At 56.1% G+C, this 18,371-nt stretch overlaps 1 protein-coding gene and 1 non-coding gene across 3 annotated transcripts in view, besides 5 other annotated features; both read left to right on the plus strand.

Moving 5' to 3' along the window:
* Window positions 1–167: a silencer, noted in NCBI's record as "fragment chr19:50321502-50321668 (GRCh37/hg19 assembly coordinates)". NCBI's record gives its function as "represses an EF-1alpha promoter that drives an FKBP-Casp9 reporter gene in an ReSE screen in K562 erythroleukemia cells {active_cell/tissue: K562}" and the evidence as "EXISTENCE:reporter gene assay evidence [ECO:0000049][PMID:32094911]".
* Window positions 1–253: a biological region, named in NCBI's record as "ReSE screen-validated silencer GRCh37_chr19:50321502-50321668".
* The window catches only part of MED25 (mediator complex subunit 25), a 22,096-nt gene continuing 3,769 nt past the window's right edge, over window positions 45–18,371 (plus strand). For both annotated transcript variants that reach the window (NM_001378355.1, NM_030973.4), the window contains exons 1-17: window positions 45–231; window positions 327–372; window positions 928–1,052; window positions 10,205–10,303; window positions 10,726–10,846; window positions 11,542–11,704; window positions 11,844–11,974; window positions 12,267–12,354; window positions 12,450–12,643; window positions 13,089–13,217; window positions 13,692–13,777; window positions 13,856–13,913; window positions 14,064–14,171; window positions 16,742–16,933; window positions 17,290–17,361; window positions 17,483–17,701; window positions 17,982–18,162. In NM_001378355.1, the coding sequence (NP_001365284.1) occupies window positions 98–231; window positions 327–372; window positions 928–1,052; window positions 10,205–10,303; window positions 10,726–10,846; window positions 11,542–11,704; window positions 11,844–11,974; window positions 12,267–12,354; window positions 12,450–12,643; window positions 13,089–13,217; window positions 13,692–13,777; window positions 13,856–13,913; window positions 14,064–14,171; window positions 16,742–16,933; window positions 17,290–17,361; window positions 17,483–17,701; window positions 17,982–18,162 (2,146 nt within the window). In that variant the 5' untranslated portion in view covers window positions 45–97. The remainder of the gene's footprint in view (window positions 232–326; window positions 373–927; window positions 1,053–10,204; window positions 10,304–10,725; window positions 10,847–11,541; window positions 11,705–11,843; window positions 11,975–12,266; window positions 12,355–12,449; window positions 12,644–13,088; window positions 13,218–13,691; window positions 13,778–13,855; window positions 13,914–14,063; window positions 14,172–16,741; window positions 16,934–17,289; window positions 17,362–17,482; window positions 17,702–17,981; window positions 18,163–18,371) is intronic.
* Window positions 94–253: a silencer, noted in NCBI's record as "silent region_10937". NCBI's record gives its function as "represses an Ori minimal core promoter by ATAC-STARR-seq in GM12878 lymphoblastoid cells {active_cell/tissue: GM12878}" and the evidence as "EXISTENCE:reporter gene assay evidence [ECO:0000049][PMID:35858748]".
* On the plus strand, window positions 13,774–13,855 carry MIR6800 (microRNA 6800). Its single transcript, NR_106858.1, has one exon. It is a non-coding gene; the product is annotated as a microRNA 6800 (primary transcript).
* Window positions 16,315–16,815: an enhancer, noted in NCBI's record as "H3K4me1 hESC enhancer chr19:50337816-50338316 (GRCh37/hg19 assembly coordinates)". NCBI's record gives its function as "activates a minimal SCP1, AML or CMV promoter by ChIP-STARR-seq in primed H9 embryonic stem cells {active_cell/tissue: H9 hESC(primed)}" and the evidence as "EXISTENCE:reporter gene assay evidence [ECO:0000049][PMID:30033119]".
* Window positions 16,816–17,316: an enhancer, noted in NCBI's record as "H3K4me1 hESC enhancer chr19:50338317-50338817 (GRCh37/hg19 assembly coordinates)". NCBI's record gives its function as "activates a minimal SCP1, AML or CMV promoter by ChIP-STARR-seq in primed H9 embryonic stem cells {active_cell/tissue: H9 hESC(primed)}" and the evidence as "EXISTENCE:reporter gene assay evidence [ECO:0000049][PMID:30033119]".

The raw sequence follows: 18,371 nt of genomic DNA on the forward strand, positions 1-18,371 counted from the left end.
CCGCCCGACGCGAGCGCGCGCGCGGCGCAGGCGCATTTCTGCTCATTCCGCGGCGTCGGCTGCGGCTGCAGTGGTGGTGGCGGGTACCGCACGGGGTATGGTCCCCGGGTCCGAGGGCCCGGCCCGCGCCGGGAGCGTGGTGGCCGACGTGGTGTTTGTGATTGAGGGTACGGCCAACCTGGGACCCTACTTCGAGGGGCTCCGCAAGCACTACCTGCTCCCGGCCATCGAGTGAGTGCTGTTTCCGCGACTCTAACCCCGCCCTCCCACTTCAGTTTCGCACAGTTTCTTGCCTGACTCCGACCTTTCACTTCCTACCCTCACAGGTATTTTAATGGTGGTCCTCCTGCTGAGACGGACTTCGGGGGAGACGTGAGTCTAGGGACTCCTGGGCCTGAGGGAGGAGGGGCCGGGGGCCTGGACTCCTGGGTCTGAGGGAGGGAGAAAGGGCTGGGCCTGGACTCCTGAGTTTGAGGGAGGAGGGGCTGGGGGTCTGGACTCCTTGTTCTGAGGGAGGAGGGCCTGGGGGCCTGGACTCCTGGGTCTGAGGGTGGAGGCGCTGGGGCCCGGATTCCTGGGTCCGAGGGAGGAGGGAGCTAGGGGCCCAGATCCCTGGGTCTGAGGGAGGAAGGGCTGGGCGTCTGGACTGCTGGGTCTGAGAAAGGAGGAGCTGAGGCCTGGATTCCTGGGTCTGAGGGAGGAGGTGCTGGGGCCTGGGCTCCTGGGTCTGAGGGAGGAGGGGCCGGGGGCCTGGATTCCTGGGTCTGAGGGAGAAGGGGCTGGGGCCGAGATTGCTGGGTCTGAGGAAGGAGGAAGCTGAGGAGTTCCTGGTTCTGGAGGAACGGGAAGCTGGGAGCCCTGATTCCTTCTCTAAGGGAAAAGGGAATTGAGGTCCCAGATTAAAAGTTTTCTGTCCTCCCCTCCCAGTATGGGGGGACCCAGTACAGCCTCGTGGTGTTCAACACAGTGGACTGCGCTCCCGAGTCCTACGTACAATGTCACGCTCCCACCAGCAGCGCCTATGAGTTTGTCACCTGGCTCGATGGCATTAAGTGAGCTTTCCCCCACTTGGGGTGGGTTGCTGGTCCCTGTGAGGGGCCGTGAATGAGTGATGGCTTGGGGTGGTTGGTGTCCCCGTGAGAGGCTGTGAATAAGTGATGGCTTGGGGTGGTTGGTGTCCCCGTGAGGGGCTGTGAATAAGTAATGGCTTGGGGTGGTTGGGGTCCCTGCGAGGGGCCGTGAATGAGCGATGGCTTGGGTTTGAGCTGCAGGAAACATCTCATACATTAAGGGATTGAAAGGACTTTGAGGGTGATTGTGTTTTTGTCAGAAGTCACTTTTGTGGTGGCTTCTGTGTGCTCAGCAATGTTGCCATCAGTTTAGAAGTAGGAAAAACCTTCCCATTCAGGGAGGCCTGGCTGAGCTCCAGCAGCCACCTTGTACTCCCTGTGTGATTGTCCCCTTTCTGTCCTCTCTTTTTCCGTCTACCCCTGTCCTCCTTTTCCAGATGGGTACATTGTAGCCTCAGTGCAGGGGGATGGGTCAGAGCCAGGATAGATCCCTCTGTGGCTTGGGTCAGAATTTTTTTTTTTTTTTTTGAAACAGTGTCTTGCTCTGTCTCCCAGGCTTGTAGTGCAGTGGCACAGTCGTGGCTCACTGCAACCTGTACCTCCTGGGTTGAAGCGATTCTTCTGCCTCAGCCTCCCAAGTAGCTGGGATTACAGGCACACGCCACTATGCCCAGCTAATTTTTTTTTTTTTTTTTGTATTTTTAGTAGAGACAGTTTCACTGTGTTGGCCAGGCTGGTCTCAAACTCCTGACCTCATGTGATCTGCCTGCCTCAGCCTCCCAAAGTGCTGGGATTATAGGGGTGAGCCACTGTTGCGGGATTCAGGACGACAGGAGAGAGCCCTCGGGTTAAAGCAGGAGAATCTTTCATTGAGTGCACTCAGGCCCAAGCCGACTCACGTCCAAAGACGGCCCAGAACAAAGGTAGCACTTGACTTTTATACACACTTCACAAAAGGGGGTGGGCTAGCTTGAAGCAAGCTTACAGTGGCGTGACAGCAGGGATACAGAGGCAGAACAAAAACAGTTAATCAAATTGTTGTAACAGGTTTATAACTCAGGATTGCACATAACCGTTGCTATGCAACCCAGATGTCCCTTATCTAGGTTAGCCTAGGCACGGGCTTATCCCATAACCTTCACTGTGGTGCCCAGGCAGCTCAGGCTTCTCATGACCTTCGCTGTACTTCTTAGATAAAACAGAATACTTGAAGTCATGAGTTACAGAGAACAGGAATCTATAAACTCATTCCATAAAACAAAGGAAAATTTGTTTTTTCTTCTCTCTATGTTGAGGGAGTGCTGGGAGAGTCTCCAAGAGCACTTTAGATAGTATTATCAAGACTTTTCCTGGGTCTGGGCTGTGCCCATTGCTGCCTCTCAGACAAGTCAGCCTAATACATAGAACTTATTTCTCTTTTTAATTTTTTTTCTTTAATTTCCTGCCTCACCACCACGCCTGGCGCTGGATCGGATTTTGATAGTTGACATTGTAGAGTCTGGAGTCAGGCAGACGGGTTAAATCCTGGCTCTTCCAGCACAGAACTAACTCTCAGACCCAGGAGTCTGTCCCCTCTGTGCCTAGTATCTCACTTGTGAAGTGGGGATGTGGATAGTACTTGTATTAGTATTTCATTGTATTACTTATTCTTAGCTGTATAATAGATTACCACCAAATAATGGCTGCATACTGCAAACATTTATTATCTAACGCAGTTTCTGTGAGTCAAGGACACAAGAGTGGCTTGGCTGGATGGTTGGGCTGAGGGTCTCACAAGGCAATAGTCAGGAGGTCGGCAGGATTGCAGCCATCCAGGGGTTTGACTGGTGGTGGGGAATCCGTTCCCAAGGTGGCGAGTCTGTGGCTGTTGGCCACAAGACCTCTCCACAGGGCTGGTTGACTGTCTAACATGGCAACTGGCATTCCTCAGATTGAGGGACCCAATAGAGAGAGCAAAGAGGAAGCCCCAGGCCTCTCTTGTTTTTGAGGAAGGGTCTCACTCTGTCACGCAGGCTGGAGTGCAGTGGCTCAGTCACGGCTCACTGCAGCCTCGACCTCCTGGGCTCAAGCTCAAGCGATCCTCCCATCTCAGCTTCCCGAGTAGCTGGAGTAGCAGGGACGGTAGCCAAATGCCAGCACACCTGGCTGATTTCTTAAAAATATTTTTGTAGGTCGGGCGTGGTGGCTCACGCCTGTAATCCCAGCACTTTGGGAGGCTGGGGCAGGTGGATCACCTGAGGTCAGGAGTTCGAGACCAGCCTGTCCAACATGGTGAAACCCTGCCTCTACTAAAAATACAAGCAATCATCCTGCCTTGACCTCCCTAAGTGCTGGAGTGCTGAAATTACAGGCCTTAGCTGGGCATGGTGGCGCATGCCTGTAATCCCAGCTCTTGGGAGGCTGAGGCAGGAGAATTGCTTGAACCTGGGAGGTGGAGGTTGCAGTGAGCCGAGATCACACCATTGCACTCCAGCCTGGGCAACAAGAGTGAAATTCTGTCTCAAAAAAAAAAAAAAAAAAAAATTTTGTAGTGGCGGGGCACGGTGGCTCATCCCTGTAATCCCAGCACTTTGGGAGGCCAAGGCGGGCGAATCACCTGAGGTCAGGAGTTCGAGACCAGCCTGGCCAACATGGTGAAACCCCGTCTCTACAAAAAATACAAAAATTGGGCAGGCGTGGTGGCTCACGCCTGTAATCCCAGCACTTTGGGAGGCTGAGGCGGGTGGATGATGAGGTCAGGAGATGGAGACCATCCTGGCTAACACGGTGAAACCCCGTCTCTACTAAAAATACAAAAATTTAACCGGGCGCGGTGGCAGGCACCTGCAGTCCCAGCTACTCGGGAGGCTGAGGCAGGAGAATGGCGTGAACCCAGGAGGCGGAGTTTGCAGTGAGCCAAGATTGCACCACTGCACTCCAGCCTGGGCAACAGAGCAAGACTCTGTCTCAAAAAAAAAAAAAAAAAAAAAACCATACAAAAATTAATCAGGTGTGGTGGCATGTGCCTTGTAATCCTAGCTACTCAGGAGGCTGAGGCAGGAGAATCACTTCAAGCCAGGAGGTGGAGAGATCGCACCACTGCGCTCCAGCTTGGGTGACTGACTGACTGAGACCCTGTCTCAAAAAAAAATTGTTTTTTTTGTGGAGACAAGGTCCTGCAATGTTGCCCAGGCTGGTTTTGAACTCCTGGTCTCAAGTGATCCTCCACTTCAGTGTCCCTAAGTGCTGGGATTAGAGGCATGAGATGCTGCACCCAGAGGCCCCACTAGGCTCTTTGTAATCAAGTCTTGGAAGTTACACGTCATGTCATTATTTCTGTTACATTCTTTTTTTTTTTTTTTTTTTTTTTTTGAGACAGAGTCTCGCTCTGTTGTCCAGGCTGAAGTGCAGTGGTGCGATCTCAGCTCACTGCAAGCTCCGCCTCCCGAGTTCACGCCATTCTCCTGCCTCAGCCTCCTGAGTAGCTGGGACTACAGGTGCCCGCCACCACACCCAGCTAATTTTTTGTATTTTTAGTAGAGACAGGGTTTCACTGTGTTAGCCGGGATGGTCTCGGTCTCCTGACCTTGTGATCCACCCGCCTCGGCCTCCCAAAGTGCTGGGATTACAGGCGTGAGCCACCGCGCCTGGCCTACATTCTGTTTTTTAACCTGAGACAGGGTCTTGCTCTGTTGCCCAGATTGGAGTGCAGTGGTGGGATCATAGCTTGCTGCAGCCTCGACCTCTCGGGCTCAAGTGATCCTCCCACCTCAGCCTCCTGAGTACCTAGGACTGCAGGTGGGCACCACCATGCATGGCTGATTTCTTTATTTTAATTCTTGTAGAGATGAGGTCTTGCTGTGTTGCTCAGACTGGTCTTGAACTCCTGGCCTCAAGCGATCCTCCTGCCTTGACCTCCCTAAGTGCTGGAGTGCTGAGATCACAGGCCTGAGCTGCGGTGCCAAGTCCACTTCTGCCATACTGCATTTGGTGTGCAGTATAAGCCTATCCCGTTCAGTGTAGGAGGAGACTACCCAGTGTGTAAATAGCAAGAGGCTGGATTGCTGGGTGCTGTATTGGGGGCTGGGTACCGCAACCTCACAGCGATGTTTGGAGAATTAAGTTAGTTGATGATGTTTAATACAGTGCCTGGCATGTATTAAGTGCCGTGTAAGTGTTTCCTAGGATTTTGTGCCTCACTCTCCTGGTTTGCAAATGGATAATGGTCGCGTGTATCTCCGTGTTGTTAGAAGATCACAGGAGCTAAGTTGCTTGCTGTGTGTCGCTTAGGGCCTGGTCTGCAGTCAAGGTTCATTAAACAACACCTGTTCGTAGCGGCCGTTACCTCTGTATGCTTCTGCAGCAGGTGTTTGTTGAGTATCTGCTTTGTTCCAGTATGTGCGTGCAAGTGCTGGGTGCAGGACATATAGTGAAAAGGTGACACAGAAGCTTCCCCTTCGCGGTAGCTGGAATTCGTAGGTAACACAGAGCAGGGTTTCTCATCCTTGGCCCTAGTGACACTGTGGACACAGTCATTCCTTGTAGTGGGGGCCGTCCTGGGTATTGTAGGATGTTTAACATCATCCTTGGCCTCTACTCACTAGATGCCGGTAGCCCCCTCCCAAAGGTGTGACAACCAAAAATGTCTCCAGGCATTATAAAATATCCTCTGGGAAGGGGGCGCAAAATGTATTCCATTTGAGACCACTGGGAGAGACCGGTAAGACAGTCTTGAGTGATGTTAAATGGAGACTTCTTGAGGCCCAGGTCCAAGTCTGATGCTCCTCAAGTGCCTGGCAGCCAGCACAGGGCCTGGTACACAGGAGGCCTCGGGTAAATTCTGTAGAATGAATGTCCAGAATGCATTTAATACTAACCACCCTGGAAGACACTGCATAGCCTTCCAGACCCAGCTCAGGTGTCTTATACCCTGGGAAACCTTCCCGATTCTTGCAGCCAGATGCTTCCTCCTCTGCCTCCATGACCTGTCACAGCCCCACACCTCTGGACTGTGAATGTCCAGGTCCCTGGGTGCTTCTGCCATTTGCTTCCAGCTGGGGCTTGGCACCCACGGGGCTTCAGGAGACTGGCTGAATAAATGAATTAGTATGTAATACAAAAACAACAAATAAATAGAAAAAATTAACCAGGCATGGTGGTGCACACCTGTAGTCCCAGCTACTCAGGAGGCTGAGGTAGGAGGATCAACTGAGACTGGGAGGCAGAGGTTGCAGTGAGCCGAGATTGTGCCACCGCACTCCAGCCTGGGTGAAAGAGCGAGACCCTGTCTCGGGAAAAAAAAAAAAAAAAAAGAGGTGGAAGGAAAATAGACCCAGTGTGTTTCCCATAACATTATGACAACTCAGTTGTTCATTCATATGTTCACTCATTAATTCAACAAATGTTTGTGGAACAAATCGTCCTGGGCACCAAGGAGTTAGTGGGCATGAGATAGGCAAGGTCCTGGCCCTCATGGAACTAGTTTGCCTGGGTGACAGGCCGTGTGTAGGGAGCCCTTGGTCATGGCCGGATGCTGTTAACATTCACTCATTTTGACCTCCTGGGGCTCCAGGCACCTGTTAGCCGATGAAAGCGGGCAGCAGAGACCCCGGGGAATGATACTGGGTAGAACAAATGGGAGTAAGTTAGAGGACTTGGGAACACCAAGTCAGAGCCCACTTGTGTCACCTAGGGGGCTTTTATTTTTATTTTGTGTCTGCCATATCAAGGGGTTTATTTGGAATTTATCATAAACTTGATATTTTAGCCATATTTTGCAGCCAGCCATAGTGCTTCTTCTGTTCAAGTTTTCCACATTTCTTTGACAAAATGTTTATTACATGTCGCCCTTTGAGCTTGTAGCACATGACTTGTACTTAGTGTTCAATAAGAGAAACGCAAGTTTTAGCATCTCAAACTGGTTAGTTTATCACACTTTTCCTCATAAGGGTTTTGTTTTGTTTTGTTTTGTTTGAGATGGAGTCTCTCTCTCTCTCCCAGGCTGGAGTGCAGTGGCATGATCTCAGCTCACTACAACCTCTGCCCCCGAGGTTCAAGTGATTCTCCTGCCTCAGCCTCCCGAGTAGCTGGGATTACACGTACCCACCACCATGTCTGGCTGGTTTTTGTATTTTTAGTAGAGATAGGGTTTCACTTTGGCCAGGTTGGTCTTGAACTCCTGACCTCAAGTGATCCGCCCACCTCGGCCTCCCAAAGTGCTGGGATTACAGGCATAAGCCATTGCACCCAGTCACTTCCAACTGTTTTACAGGGTCATGCCTGTAATTCCAGCACTTTGGGAGGGTGAGGAGGCGGATCACCTGAGGTCGGGAGTTCGAGACCAGCCCGACCAACATGGAGAAACCCTGTCTCTACTAAAAATACAAAATTAGCTGGGCGTGGTGCCGCATGCCTGTAATCCCAGCTACTCGGGAGGCTGAGGCAGGAGAATCACTTGAACCCAGAAGTCGAAGGTAGTGGTGAGCTGAGATCGTGCCATTGCACTCCAGCCTGGGCAACAAGAGCGAAACTCCATCTCAAAAAAAAAAATTTATCACCCCAAAGAGGACACCCCATATGCATGAAGCACTAGCTCCCCATTCCCCCATCCCCCCATCCCCAGCCAGGGTGGTTTTGGCTCGAGTCCCAGAAAGGCCCAGGAAAATATTGGCTTAATTTCACCTGTAGCAGAACAGCTGGGTCCAGAGTTGGTTCACCCCAACTCTTTGCACACAGTTGAAGTTTCTGCGTGCAAAGCTGTCTTGATGCCGGGCACAGTGGCTCACGCCTGTAATCCCAGCACTTTGGGAGGCCGAGGCGGGTGGATCATAAGGTCAGGAGTTCGAGACCATCCCGGATAACACCGTGAAACCCCGTCTCTACTTAAAAATTAAAAAAATTAGCCGGGCGTGGTGGCGGGCACCTGTGGTCCCAGCTACGAGGGAGGCTGAGGCAGGAGAATGGCGTGAATCCGGGAGGCGGAGCTTGCAGTGAGCGGAGATGTGCCTCTGCCCTCCAGCCTGGGAGACAGAGCGAGACTCCGTCTCAAAAACAAAAGCTGTTTTGATGGCTAGGAAGAGGAGGGCTGGGAAGTGTGTGGTGGGTTGGGAGCAGCGCCCGAGTGCCCTGAGAGCAGGAAGAAGGCTCAGGGGCTCAGTGTGCTCACTGGCCGGGCCGAGTGGGACTGGAAGGAAATCAGTGCGAGAACTCAGGCAGGAAGCGGAGAGCCCCGCTGCATGGCCCTGCCAGGCCACCAGTGCACTGAGTACTCAGCAGATGGTTCCTAGGCCTTGTGTGACCTAGGGTCAGACGCCTTGGTGTCTCTCTTGGAGGGCTGCACAGGGTGCGGAGAGAAGCTTGACAGCTGCAGTATCGGGTGATCTATGATGTGACTAAGGGCAGGCCGTAAAATTAGGTGGCATGTAGGGAAGGCTTCCTATAGGAGGGCACACCAGGATGGGTGTCGTAGTTTAGCTGGATTCCATCCGGGCCGGAATGGGTGTGTTCCAGCACATGCAGAGACCTGGATGTCTGGGCTTTGTCAGTTGAGAGGACCTATAGGTGCGGGCATGGAGCAGGAGAGATGGACGGGGTGCAGGACTCGGAGGCCTCGGATGCTGGGCCGATGCCGGGCCGAGGGCCTGGGTTGGTTCCAGTCTTGATGGACACGGTTGGGCCTGTAGACGTTCATTCACTTAGCCTACATTTCCTGAGGCCTCACATGTGCCCCGCTGTGGTGGGCAAGCCTGGGGGTAAGAGAGGACTCAGACCCCATCCCCGCCTGTGGGAGAGGTAGGATCAGAGACCACACTTCAGGGGGACAGGGCCCTCAAGACCCTCAGAGGGGTGCTCGGTCTCCACACACGTCCCCTGCAGCAAAGGTCAGCCTCTCACGACCACGTGACCGGAATAATGGTGGCAACCACAGCTGCCCTTGAGGAGAGGCCATCCCCGGGCCACAACCCATGTGGGACGGATGCTGCGACGCGACTGCAGATCAGGCGGAGGAGAAACGAGAGTCTGTGTGTGTTAGTTTCCCAGGCTGCCGTAGCAAAGTATGAGAAACTGGCCAGAAGAATGGAAATTGATGTCTCAGGGTTCTGGAGGCTGGAAGTCCAAAATCCAGGTGGTAGGGCCAGGCTGTCTCTGAAATCTTACAGGGGAAGGGCCCTTCTGCCTTTCCTGGTGCCTGCTGAGGCTGCATCACCCGTCCTCACATGGCCTCTCCCTGTGTCTCTCTGTGTCCTTGTGTCTTCCCTCTGTGTGTGTGTCCGTGTCCACGTTTCTCCTTTTCACAGACACCAGCCATAGTGGATTAGGGCCCGCAATTTAACTCGATTACCTGTGTAAAGATCTTTCCAAATTAGGTCACCTTCTGAGGTACTGGGGCTTAGGACCTCAACCTGTCTTTTTGAAGGGGGCACACTTGAACCCATAAGACTAGGAGGACAGAGGAGGCCCCCGTCTCTGGCTGGGAAGGTGAAGTGGGGCCAGGACTGATTTGGAGCAGACAGCCCAGAGAGGGGAGGGGACAGCAGGAGGCTGGGCATGGAGTCAGTCACTCCAGGGTTGGAGTCAGCACAGGATCCTAGGCTTGGGGTCCCCAGCCCTTTCCCATTCCCTCCCAGTCCTCATGATTAAAGACAACAAATGTCGGCCGGGTGTGGTGGCTCACTCCTGCAATCCCAGCACTTTGGGAGGCTGAGGCAAGTGGATCATGAGGTCAGGAGATGGAGACCATCCTGGCTAACATGGTGAAATCCCGTCTCTACTAAAAATACAAAAAATTAGCCAGGTGTGGTGGCAGGCACCTGTAGTCCCAGCTACTCGGGAGACTGAGGCAGGAGAATGGCATGAACCCAGGAAGCGGAGCTTGCAGTGAACTGAGATCATGCCACTGCATTCCAGCCTGGGCGACAGAGCGAGACTCCATCTCAAAAAAAAAAAAAAACACAGACAGCAAATGTCCCCTGTCCTGTCTGGGACTGGTGCTGTGCTAGCACCAGGGATTGGGTAGGGAACTCAGCAGGGTCCCCGTCATCCCAAGGTGCATAGCCCAGGATAGAGTGGGGGACAGCATGGGAGCAGGCTCTTCAAGCATAGCCTGGGGATGGGGATGATGGCAACCCTGGGGGCTGACCGCTCTGCCCCTGCAGGTTCATGGGCGGGGGTGGTGAGAGCTGCAGCCTCATCGCGGAAGGACTCAGCACAGCCTTGCAGCTGTTTGATGACTTCAAGAAGATGCGCGAGCAGATGTGAGTGCCCCCTCCACCCAGGCCGGGCCGGTCTCTCTCTGCCTGGCCTGGAACCACTTTGCCTGTCGAGTGGTTCTACCTCCAGCCTCACCCTGTAGGGCATGGGCTCTGTGTCCCCAAGCACGCTGAGCCAGGAGGCTGCAGGTGTGTCCTTGGGGGACGCCTGGCCAGTGCCCGGTCTCAGCATCCCCATCAGGAAGCAGTGCCAACTCTGGGTGTCACTCCTGCCTGCCCTGCCTGCTGGGTGACGTAGAGCACATCCCAGAACCTCTTGGAGCCTCAGTGTTCTCAGCTGTAAAGTAGGGGCGTTGCTTCTGATTCCATGTGAGGCGGAATATGTGCATCTCCGCTGGTGCTGGGTCTGGGTTCCTTCTCAGGGCCTCTGTTGCTGCTGGCTCCATGTCTTCTCTCTTTCCTGGTAGTGGCCAGACGCACCGGGTCTGCCTCCTCATCTGCAACTCACCCCCATACTTGTTGCCTGCTGTTGAGAGCACCACGTACTCTGGATGCACAACTGAGAATCTTGTGCAGCAGATTGGGGAGGTGAGGACTCCAGGGTCTGAGGGACGAGGGTCTGGGGGCCCGGAGTCTTGGGTCTGAGGCAGGAGGCACTGAGGGCCTGGACTCCTGGGTCTGAGGGAGGAGGCACTGGGGGCCTGGACTCTTGGGTCTAAGCGGGGAGGCACTGGGGGCCTGGACTCAGACACAGAATAGTCACAGACTGGTGACCAGCTTTGCTTACTCTCTTTTCGAAACAGTCTGGCTCTGTTACCCAGGCTGGAGTGCAGTGGTGTGATCTTGGCCCACTGCAGCCTCTGCCTCCAGGGTTCAAGCAATTCTCATGTTTCAGCCTCCCGAGTAGCTGGGATTATAGACGCCCGCCACCACGCCCAGCTGATTTTTGTATCTTTAGTAGAGATGAGGTTTCACCATGTTGGCCAGACTGCTCTCAAACTCCTGGCCTCATGTGATCTGCCTGACTCGGTCTCACAAAATCCTGGGATTACAGACGTGAGCCTCCACACCTGGCCCACTTAGTCTTACTGACAAAACTAGAACCCAGAGTCTCCCGGGGCAGGTGATACCTGGTTTCAGGGTCTCCTGCCTCAAAGCCCAATGGGAATTGTGGTTGTAGGGCTGGTGCCGTCCAGCCACACAGCAGTTGTGGTAGGTTGGGGGCCGGCCCCAACACCCTTATGGAGGGGGCCCGTCATGACTGCTCGGCCCCTCTCCTACAGCGGGGGATCCACTTCTCCATTGTGTCTCCCCGGAAGCTGCCTGCGCTTCGGCTTCTGTTTGAGAAGGCAGCCCCCCCGGCCTTGCTGGAGCCGCTGCAGCCTCCGACAGATGTGAGCCAGGACCCGAGGCACATGGTGCTGGTTCGGGGACTCGTGCTGCCTGGTGAGGCCTGGGCACCGTGCGCGGGGATGGGGGCTCGACGTGTTTCCCCAGCTCCCTCTGACTTGGATTTTGGATTTCTCTCCTTTCTCTGCATCTTGAATCCCTTCTCTCTGGGGTTGGCCATCCCTCCTGCTCTCAGTTGGGGGTGGCTCAGCCCCAGGCCCCCTCCAGTCAAAGCAGCCAGTCCCCCTGCCTCCCGCCGCACCCTCAGGTGCCACTCTCTCAGCAGCCCCCCAGCAGCCTCTGCCCCCCGTCCCCCCGCAGTACCAGGTATGGATATTTCCGGGAAGGGACATGCTTCTGGGGACTTGCTGGAGCCCTGGCCCCTGGGGAGAAATCTAGTTGCATGTTGGAGCTTGTGGGATGATGGGAGTCCCATGGGACATTGGGAAGGTGGGACTCTTGGGGCCATGGAAGCTCATGTGCTGTGTGATGGGTGTTGTGAGCTAAGCTATCCCAGCTGGTGCCTCATGGGGCCATGGGTGGTGTGACCTCGTGGGATACCAGGACTGGGGGGCCATGGTCCTCACCAGTCCCTTCCCTTCTTCCCTTCTACCCACAGGTTCCCGGGAACCTGAGTGCAGCTCAGGTGGCCGCGCAGAATGCAGTGGAGGCTGCCAAGAACCAGAAGGCTGGGCTGGGCCCTCGCTGTGAGTCCTGGAGTGAGGATGAAGGGCGGGCAGGGGCCAGGCAGGCCTCTCTCCACACACTTGTTCCCCACTTCTTCCCTTGGTCTCTCCCACAGTCTCGCCCATCACCCCTCTCCAACAAGCTGCTCCCGGAGTGGGTCCCCCCTTCAGCCAGGCCCCAGCTCCCCAACTACCCCCAGGACCCCCTGGCGCCCCCAAGCCACCACCTGCTTCCCAGCCCAGTCTGGTCTCCACTGTGGCCCCTGGCTCCGGCCTGGCTCCCACGGCACAGCCCGGGGCACCGTCCATGGTAGGTGCCTGCACGCCTCCTGCCCCTGCTCCTTCCTCCTGCTGTCCACAGCTAGGACAGTTAGAGGATGAGTCATTTGCCTTCCAGGGGGATGTGGCTCTCGTGGTTCTGGGGCTTTGGGGGCTCGTGGTGTGTGTGCTGCAGATGCCTGAGATGAGGGTCTGGGGACAGAGTGGGGAGGCTCATGGCTCCAGGAGGGTCAGGGCTGTTCCGAGAAACCCAAGGAATCCCTGGGTCTGGGAGTCCAGGGCATCGCACAGCTTACGAGTCCTCGAATCCTGCAAGGTCCAAGCATTTGGGGTCCTGCGGCTGGCCAAGTGCTGTTCTGGGGATGGAGGGGCAGAAGAAGGGATCTTTCCTCCTTCCTGGTTTGCCCTCACAGGATGGCCCCCGGAGGCTCCCGGCCTTCCCCATTCTCATGGCCCTCCTTCCTCCCCTCTGGCAGGCAGGCACTGTGGCCCCAGGAGGGGTGAGCGGCCCTTCCCCAGCCCAGCTGGGAGCCCCAGCCCTCGGTGGGCAGCAGTCAGTCTCCAATAAGCTTCTGGCCTGGAGCGGGGTCCTGGAGTGGCAAGAGGTGAGGGGCCTGAGGGTCCATTGGGCACTTGGGACTCCTGGGGCCGTGGGGCTGGGCATGTAGGACTCATGGGGCCAGATGCGTGGGGTCTGCAGTGCTGGGTTTGGAGGCATTCGTTGCGCTGGACCTGTGGGATGCGGGGCGAGGCCAGGAGCCCCATGGAGTGGTGGGACTTGCGGTACAGAGGAGAGTCCCCATGCAAAGAACCCAGAAAAGCCCAGGATTTGGGGCCCAGAGAAGAGCCCAGGCGATGTATCATCTGGGGCACAGTGGATGGTGGGATTTAGGGGCCGGGCACGTAGCTGTAACATTTGAGGAACTGAAGGCTTGCTGGTCTGGAGGAGGGGCCTGGGGCTCATGGGACTTAAACTGGGGAACATCCTGAGCTTTGGGGCTACCAGGGTAGGACATGAGGGCTCAAGGGGACTGAGGCTTATGGCCCTTTTTACTGACATGCTCTTTTTTCCCCCTCAGAAACCCAAACCTGCCTCAGTGGATGCCAACACCAAGCTGACGCGGTCACTGCCCTGCCAGGTCTACGTGAATCATGGCGAGAACCTGTAGGTGACAGTCAGGGGCGGGGTGTGGTGGGGCTGGGGCTGGCCCCCTCCTCACACCTCTCCTGGCATCGCCCCCAGGAAGACGGAGCAGTGGCCCCAGAAGCTGATCATGCAGCTCATCCCCCAGCAGCTGCTGGTGAGTGGCGGTGGAGGGCCAGCCCTGCTGCCGGGCAGTCCTCACCCTGCTGTCTCTTTCCTGTTCCCTGCCCCACCCCCACTCCCTGCCTCATGTCCCCGCCTCACTTGCCCACACCAGCATGCCAGCCGACTTCTGTGTCTCCCGCAGACCACCCTGGGCCCTTTGTTCCGGAACTCAAGGATGGTCCAGTTCCATTTCACCAACAAGGACCTGGAGTCTCTCAAAGGCCTCTACCGCATCATGGGCAACGGCTTCGTGAGTCCAGGGCATGGGGGGCCGAGGGGTGTTGACTCTTGTCCTGCTTTCTGCTGACCTTTGACGGGAATCCCAGAGTGCCTGGGCCCACGGAAGCCGTTTTTGATGGTTGGGTGCACTTCATGCCCTTAGGTTCCTCGCCTTTCTTCTAGAGCCGTGACTTTTATTATAATCATCGTATGCACCAGATTTGAGGGATATTCCACATTAAAAATGTGAGCTGGATGTGACAGGATCAGTTAGGAGGAAGCTGTTGATTCTGGCATGGCTTTATGGGATGTGTTCATTTCCTGTGGCTGTGGTAACACATTACCACAAGCAGAGGGGCTTAAAACAACAGAAACGTGTTCTATCCCAGTTCTGGAGGCCAGAAGCCCAAGGTCAGGGTGTCAGCAGGGCCACGCTCTCTCTAGAGGCTGGAGGGAAGGCCTCTTCGTTGCCTCTTCCGGCCGGTAACCCCAGGCTTCAGGTGGCATCGCTCCAGGGTCTTCCTCCATCCCGCAGCTGTCTTCCCTCTGTGTGTGTCTCCACATGGCATTCTCTCTGTATCTTTGTGTCTGTGCTTATAAGGACATCAGTAATTTTGGATTAGGCCCCATTTTCCTGACCTCATCTTACTACAATTGCAAAGACCCTCTTTCCAGATAGAGTCACCTTCACAGGTGCTGGGGACTGGAACCTCAGCTTAGCTTTCTGGTTTTGTTTTTTGAGACAGAGTTTCACTGTTGTCAGCCAGGCTGGAGTGCAGTGGTGCAATCTTGGCTCACAGCAACTTCCGTCTCCTGGGTTCAAGCGATTCTCCTGCCTCAGCCTCCCAAGTAGCTGGGATTACAGGCATGTGCCACTATGCCCAGCTAATTTCTGTATTTTTTAGTAGAGACAGGGTTTCACCATGTTGGCCAGGTTGGTCTCGAACTTCTGACCTCAAGTGATCTGCCTGCCTCGGCCTCCCAAAGTGCTAGGATTACCGGTGTGAGCCACCGCGCCCAGCCTCAGCATAGCTTTCTGGGAGTCACAGTTCACACTTTGTAACTCGGGGAAGGAGCAGATCAGTTACTTCCGTGCACCAGGCACTCCTGCAGGAAAGAGAACCTTAGGGGGATCACCTCACGAGACCCTCACAGAACCTTGTGAAGAAGGCATTCCTGAGAGTTAGTACTTCCGGCTGCAAATCACGTAGTTTCCCAAACACATAGATAATTGGGGGCACTCGGAAAAAATGTTCTCTTATGATTCTGTGGGTCACCTGGGCTCAGTGGGCCATCTCGCTTGGCGACTCTCACGGGGTTGCCATCAGATGGCAGCTGAGACTCTGGTCATCTGAAACCTTTACTGGGCTGGATGTTCAAAACAGCTCCTCACACAGCCCTGGCTGTTGGCTGGGGCTTGGCTAGGACCGGCCATCCCAGTGTCTGCACATGGCCTGTCCACGTGGCCACACTGTGGCAGCTGGGTTCTGAGAGGGCAGGCGTTGTAGGAGCAGGCATTTATATTTTGCACAGGACAGGACATCTAGAGGGGGCCAGCTATTGGGATTGGTTTCATAGGTCTGTGACATCAGGGACAGGGCCCTGTGGTTCTCTTGGCCTCTCCTTTATAGTCACAAGGTAGCTCTCATGGCTCCACGCATCCTGTGTGCTTTCATGAAGGAGGGGAAGGGGGCTGTGTGTTTCCCTTTCTTCAAGACAGCAGAAACTTTCTCAGATTCCAGAGCAGGCATTCCTTTCACCTCCTATCCCGGACCTAGGCCACTGGGCAGCCCCTAGTTGATGGGAGGCTGCTGGGAGCAGGTATCCGTGACTGTCTGGGGCTGGGACATGTTACAGCCCCAGACAGCATTGGGAATGCAGGGGAGGAGGACACTTGGATATGGAATAGGCAGCTAGCAGGGTCTGTCTCAGGCAGGAAACCGAGGCTCAGAGAAGTCAATTCACTTGGCCAAGGTCAGCCTCGCCTCCCTCAGGAGCCCCTGCCCTGAATGCTCCATGTGTTACCCCCCTGATGACCAGTGATGTTTCCTGGGTGCTTCCTGTGGGCTGAGCCTCAGGCAGGGCTCTTGCTGTGGATCAGACATCGCATAGTCACAGCGACCCTGTGATGTGGGAGCACTCCCCGTGGTGTACACTGGCCGGTGCTGAGGGCTGGAGGATCTCTTGGATACCCGGGGTCCGACCCACCGTTGATCACAGGCCTGTGGGTACCACGCTGTGCATCTAGGCCGCTCTCCCGGCCGTGACCCTCAGCCGCCCTCTGAGGAGGCCGCCGTGGCATTTTATGCCCAAGAAACTGGGTCCATGAGGAGCAGGTGGTGGCTGAAGGTTGAAGAGCTGGGCTCCAGCACTTTCTCTCCGCTTTCCCTCTCAGTGGGCAGCTGGAACCCTAGCTTGCCCTGAGCGCCTCAGTTTCTGTCTCCAGAGCAACCCATAGCACACCTGTTCTCCTTAACCTTCTATAGCAGAAACCTCACCTCACCTTGCCTGTGGGGCCTCTAGAGCCTTCTGGAATGGGGAGGGGGTCAGGGCTGCCTCTTTCAGGGCCTGAATGGTTCTGAAGAGCTGTTGTCCACCCAGGCGGGCTGCGTGCACTTCCCCCACACGGCGCCCTGTGAGGTGCGCGTGCTCATGCTCCTGTACTCGTCCAAGAAGAAGATCTTCATGGGCCTCATCCCCTACGACCAGAGCGGCTTCGTCAACGGCATCCGGCAGGTCATCACCAACCACAAGCAGGTCCAGCAGCAGAAGCTGGAGCAGCAGCAGCGAGGAGTGAGTGTTGACAGTCCCCAAACCAGCACTCCGACCCCCTCCTGCCCGGGCCCCACATGGCCCCCTGGGGTCTCCAGGACCAAGATGCCCACCCTTCTCCCAATATGTGGTGCCTCCAAGCTAAGTCCCACTCAGATTTTCTTGCAGTCTCTCTCCTTTTTCAGCATCCACATCAAAGCCCTGACACAGCTTCCTCCTGGAGACCTTGGAGTGTACGGCATCCCTCCCAGACCACTCACCCCCAAAGAGAATGTCCCCATCTCCTTACTAGTTCCCCTCAGGGCACAGGCCCTCCCGCCTCAGATTCAGGATGCCACCACCCTCAGTTACTGACCTGCCCCTCTCTCCCCGTGCAGATGGGGGGACAGCAGGCACCCCCAGGGCTGGGGCCCATTCTGGAGGACCAAGCCAGGCCCTCACAGAATCTGGTGAGGACAGGGCTGGCGGGGTCGGGGCTGGGTTGGGGAGGCCCCAAGGCTGCGCTCTGTGCCTGCAGAAGGGGCGTGAGGCCCTGCCCATCTCCCTCACCCCTGTGTCTCTTCCCACCAGCTCCAGCTCCGCCCACCGCAGCCCCAGCCTCAGGGTACCGTAGGGGCCTCTGGGGCCACGGGGCAGCCCCAGCCCCAAGGTACTGCCCAGCCCCCGCCAGGTGCCCCTCAAGGCCCTCCTGGAGCAGCTTCTGGCCCACCCCCTCCTGGACCCATCCTTCGGCCCCAGAACCCTGGGGCCAACCCTCAGCTGCGAAGCCTCCTCCTCAACCCACCACCGGTGAGATGTTGGGGTGGGGTAGCGAGAGTTCCAGATCCTGGCCCTGGTGGTTCTGGTCCTGTTGTCTGGGAGGAGGGAGGTTGACTGTGGTCAGTGGGTGTGAATGGGGACCCGCCCAGGGCTTTAGGCAGAAGGCAGACCGCCTCCTCTCCGTCCATCCCCCACCTTTGAAGAAAAACTTCCCCTCACCACTAGCTGATTCCATCTCTGAGCAGTGTCTGTGTTGAGAGGTGGGGAGTCTCTACCAGGAGCCTCTGAGCCACTCTCTGTGTTCTCCCAGCCGCAGACTGGGGTGCCCCCACCCCAGGCCTCCCTCCACCACCTCCAGCCACCAGGGGCTCCTGCGCTGCTGCCTCCGCCGCACCAGGGCCTGGGGCAGCCCCAGTTGGGGCCCCCACTCCTGCATCCACCACCTGCCCAGTCCTGGCCCGCACAACTTCCCCCTCGGGCTCCACTGCCAGGTAAGGGGACCCGGGGGAGGGCAGAGGTCTGGACTGAGTGTCCCAGCAGCTCCTGGGCTAGAGCACCAAGACCGAGTGCTCCTGGGAAGTAAAGACATAGGATCCAAGAATGAGGGTTCCCCCATGGCCTTTGCGGAGCTCTGAGGGCTCCGGGAAAGTACAGCCCATGGGTCCAAGGACCTAGTGGGTTAAGAGCGTTTCCCATGATC

Source organism: Homo sapiens, chromosome 19 (assembly GCF_000001405.40).
Source record: "Homo sapiens chromosome 19, GRCh38.p14 Primary Assembly".
Taxonomy (NCBI): domain Eukaryota; kingdom Metazoa; phylum Chordata; class Mammalia; order Primates; family Hominidae; genus Homo; species Homo sapiens.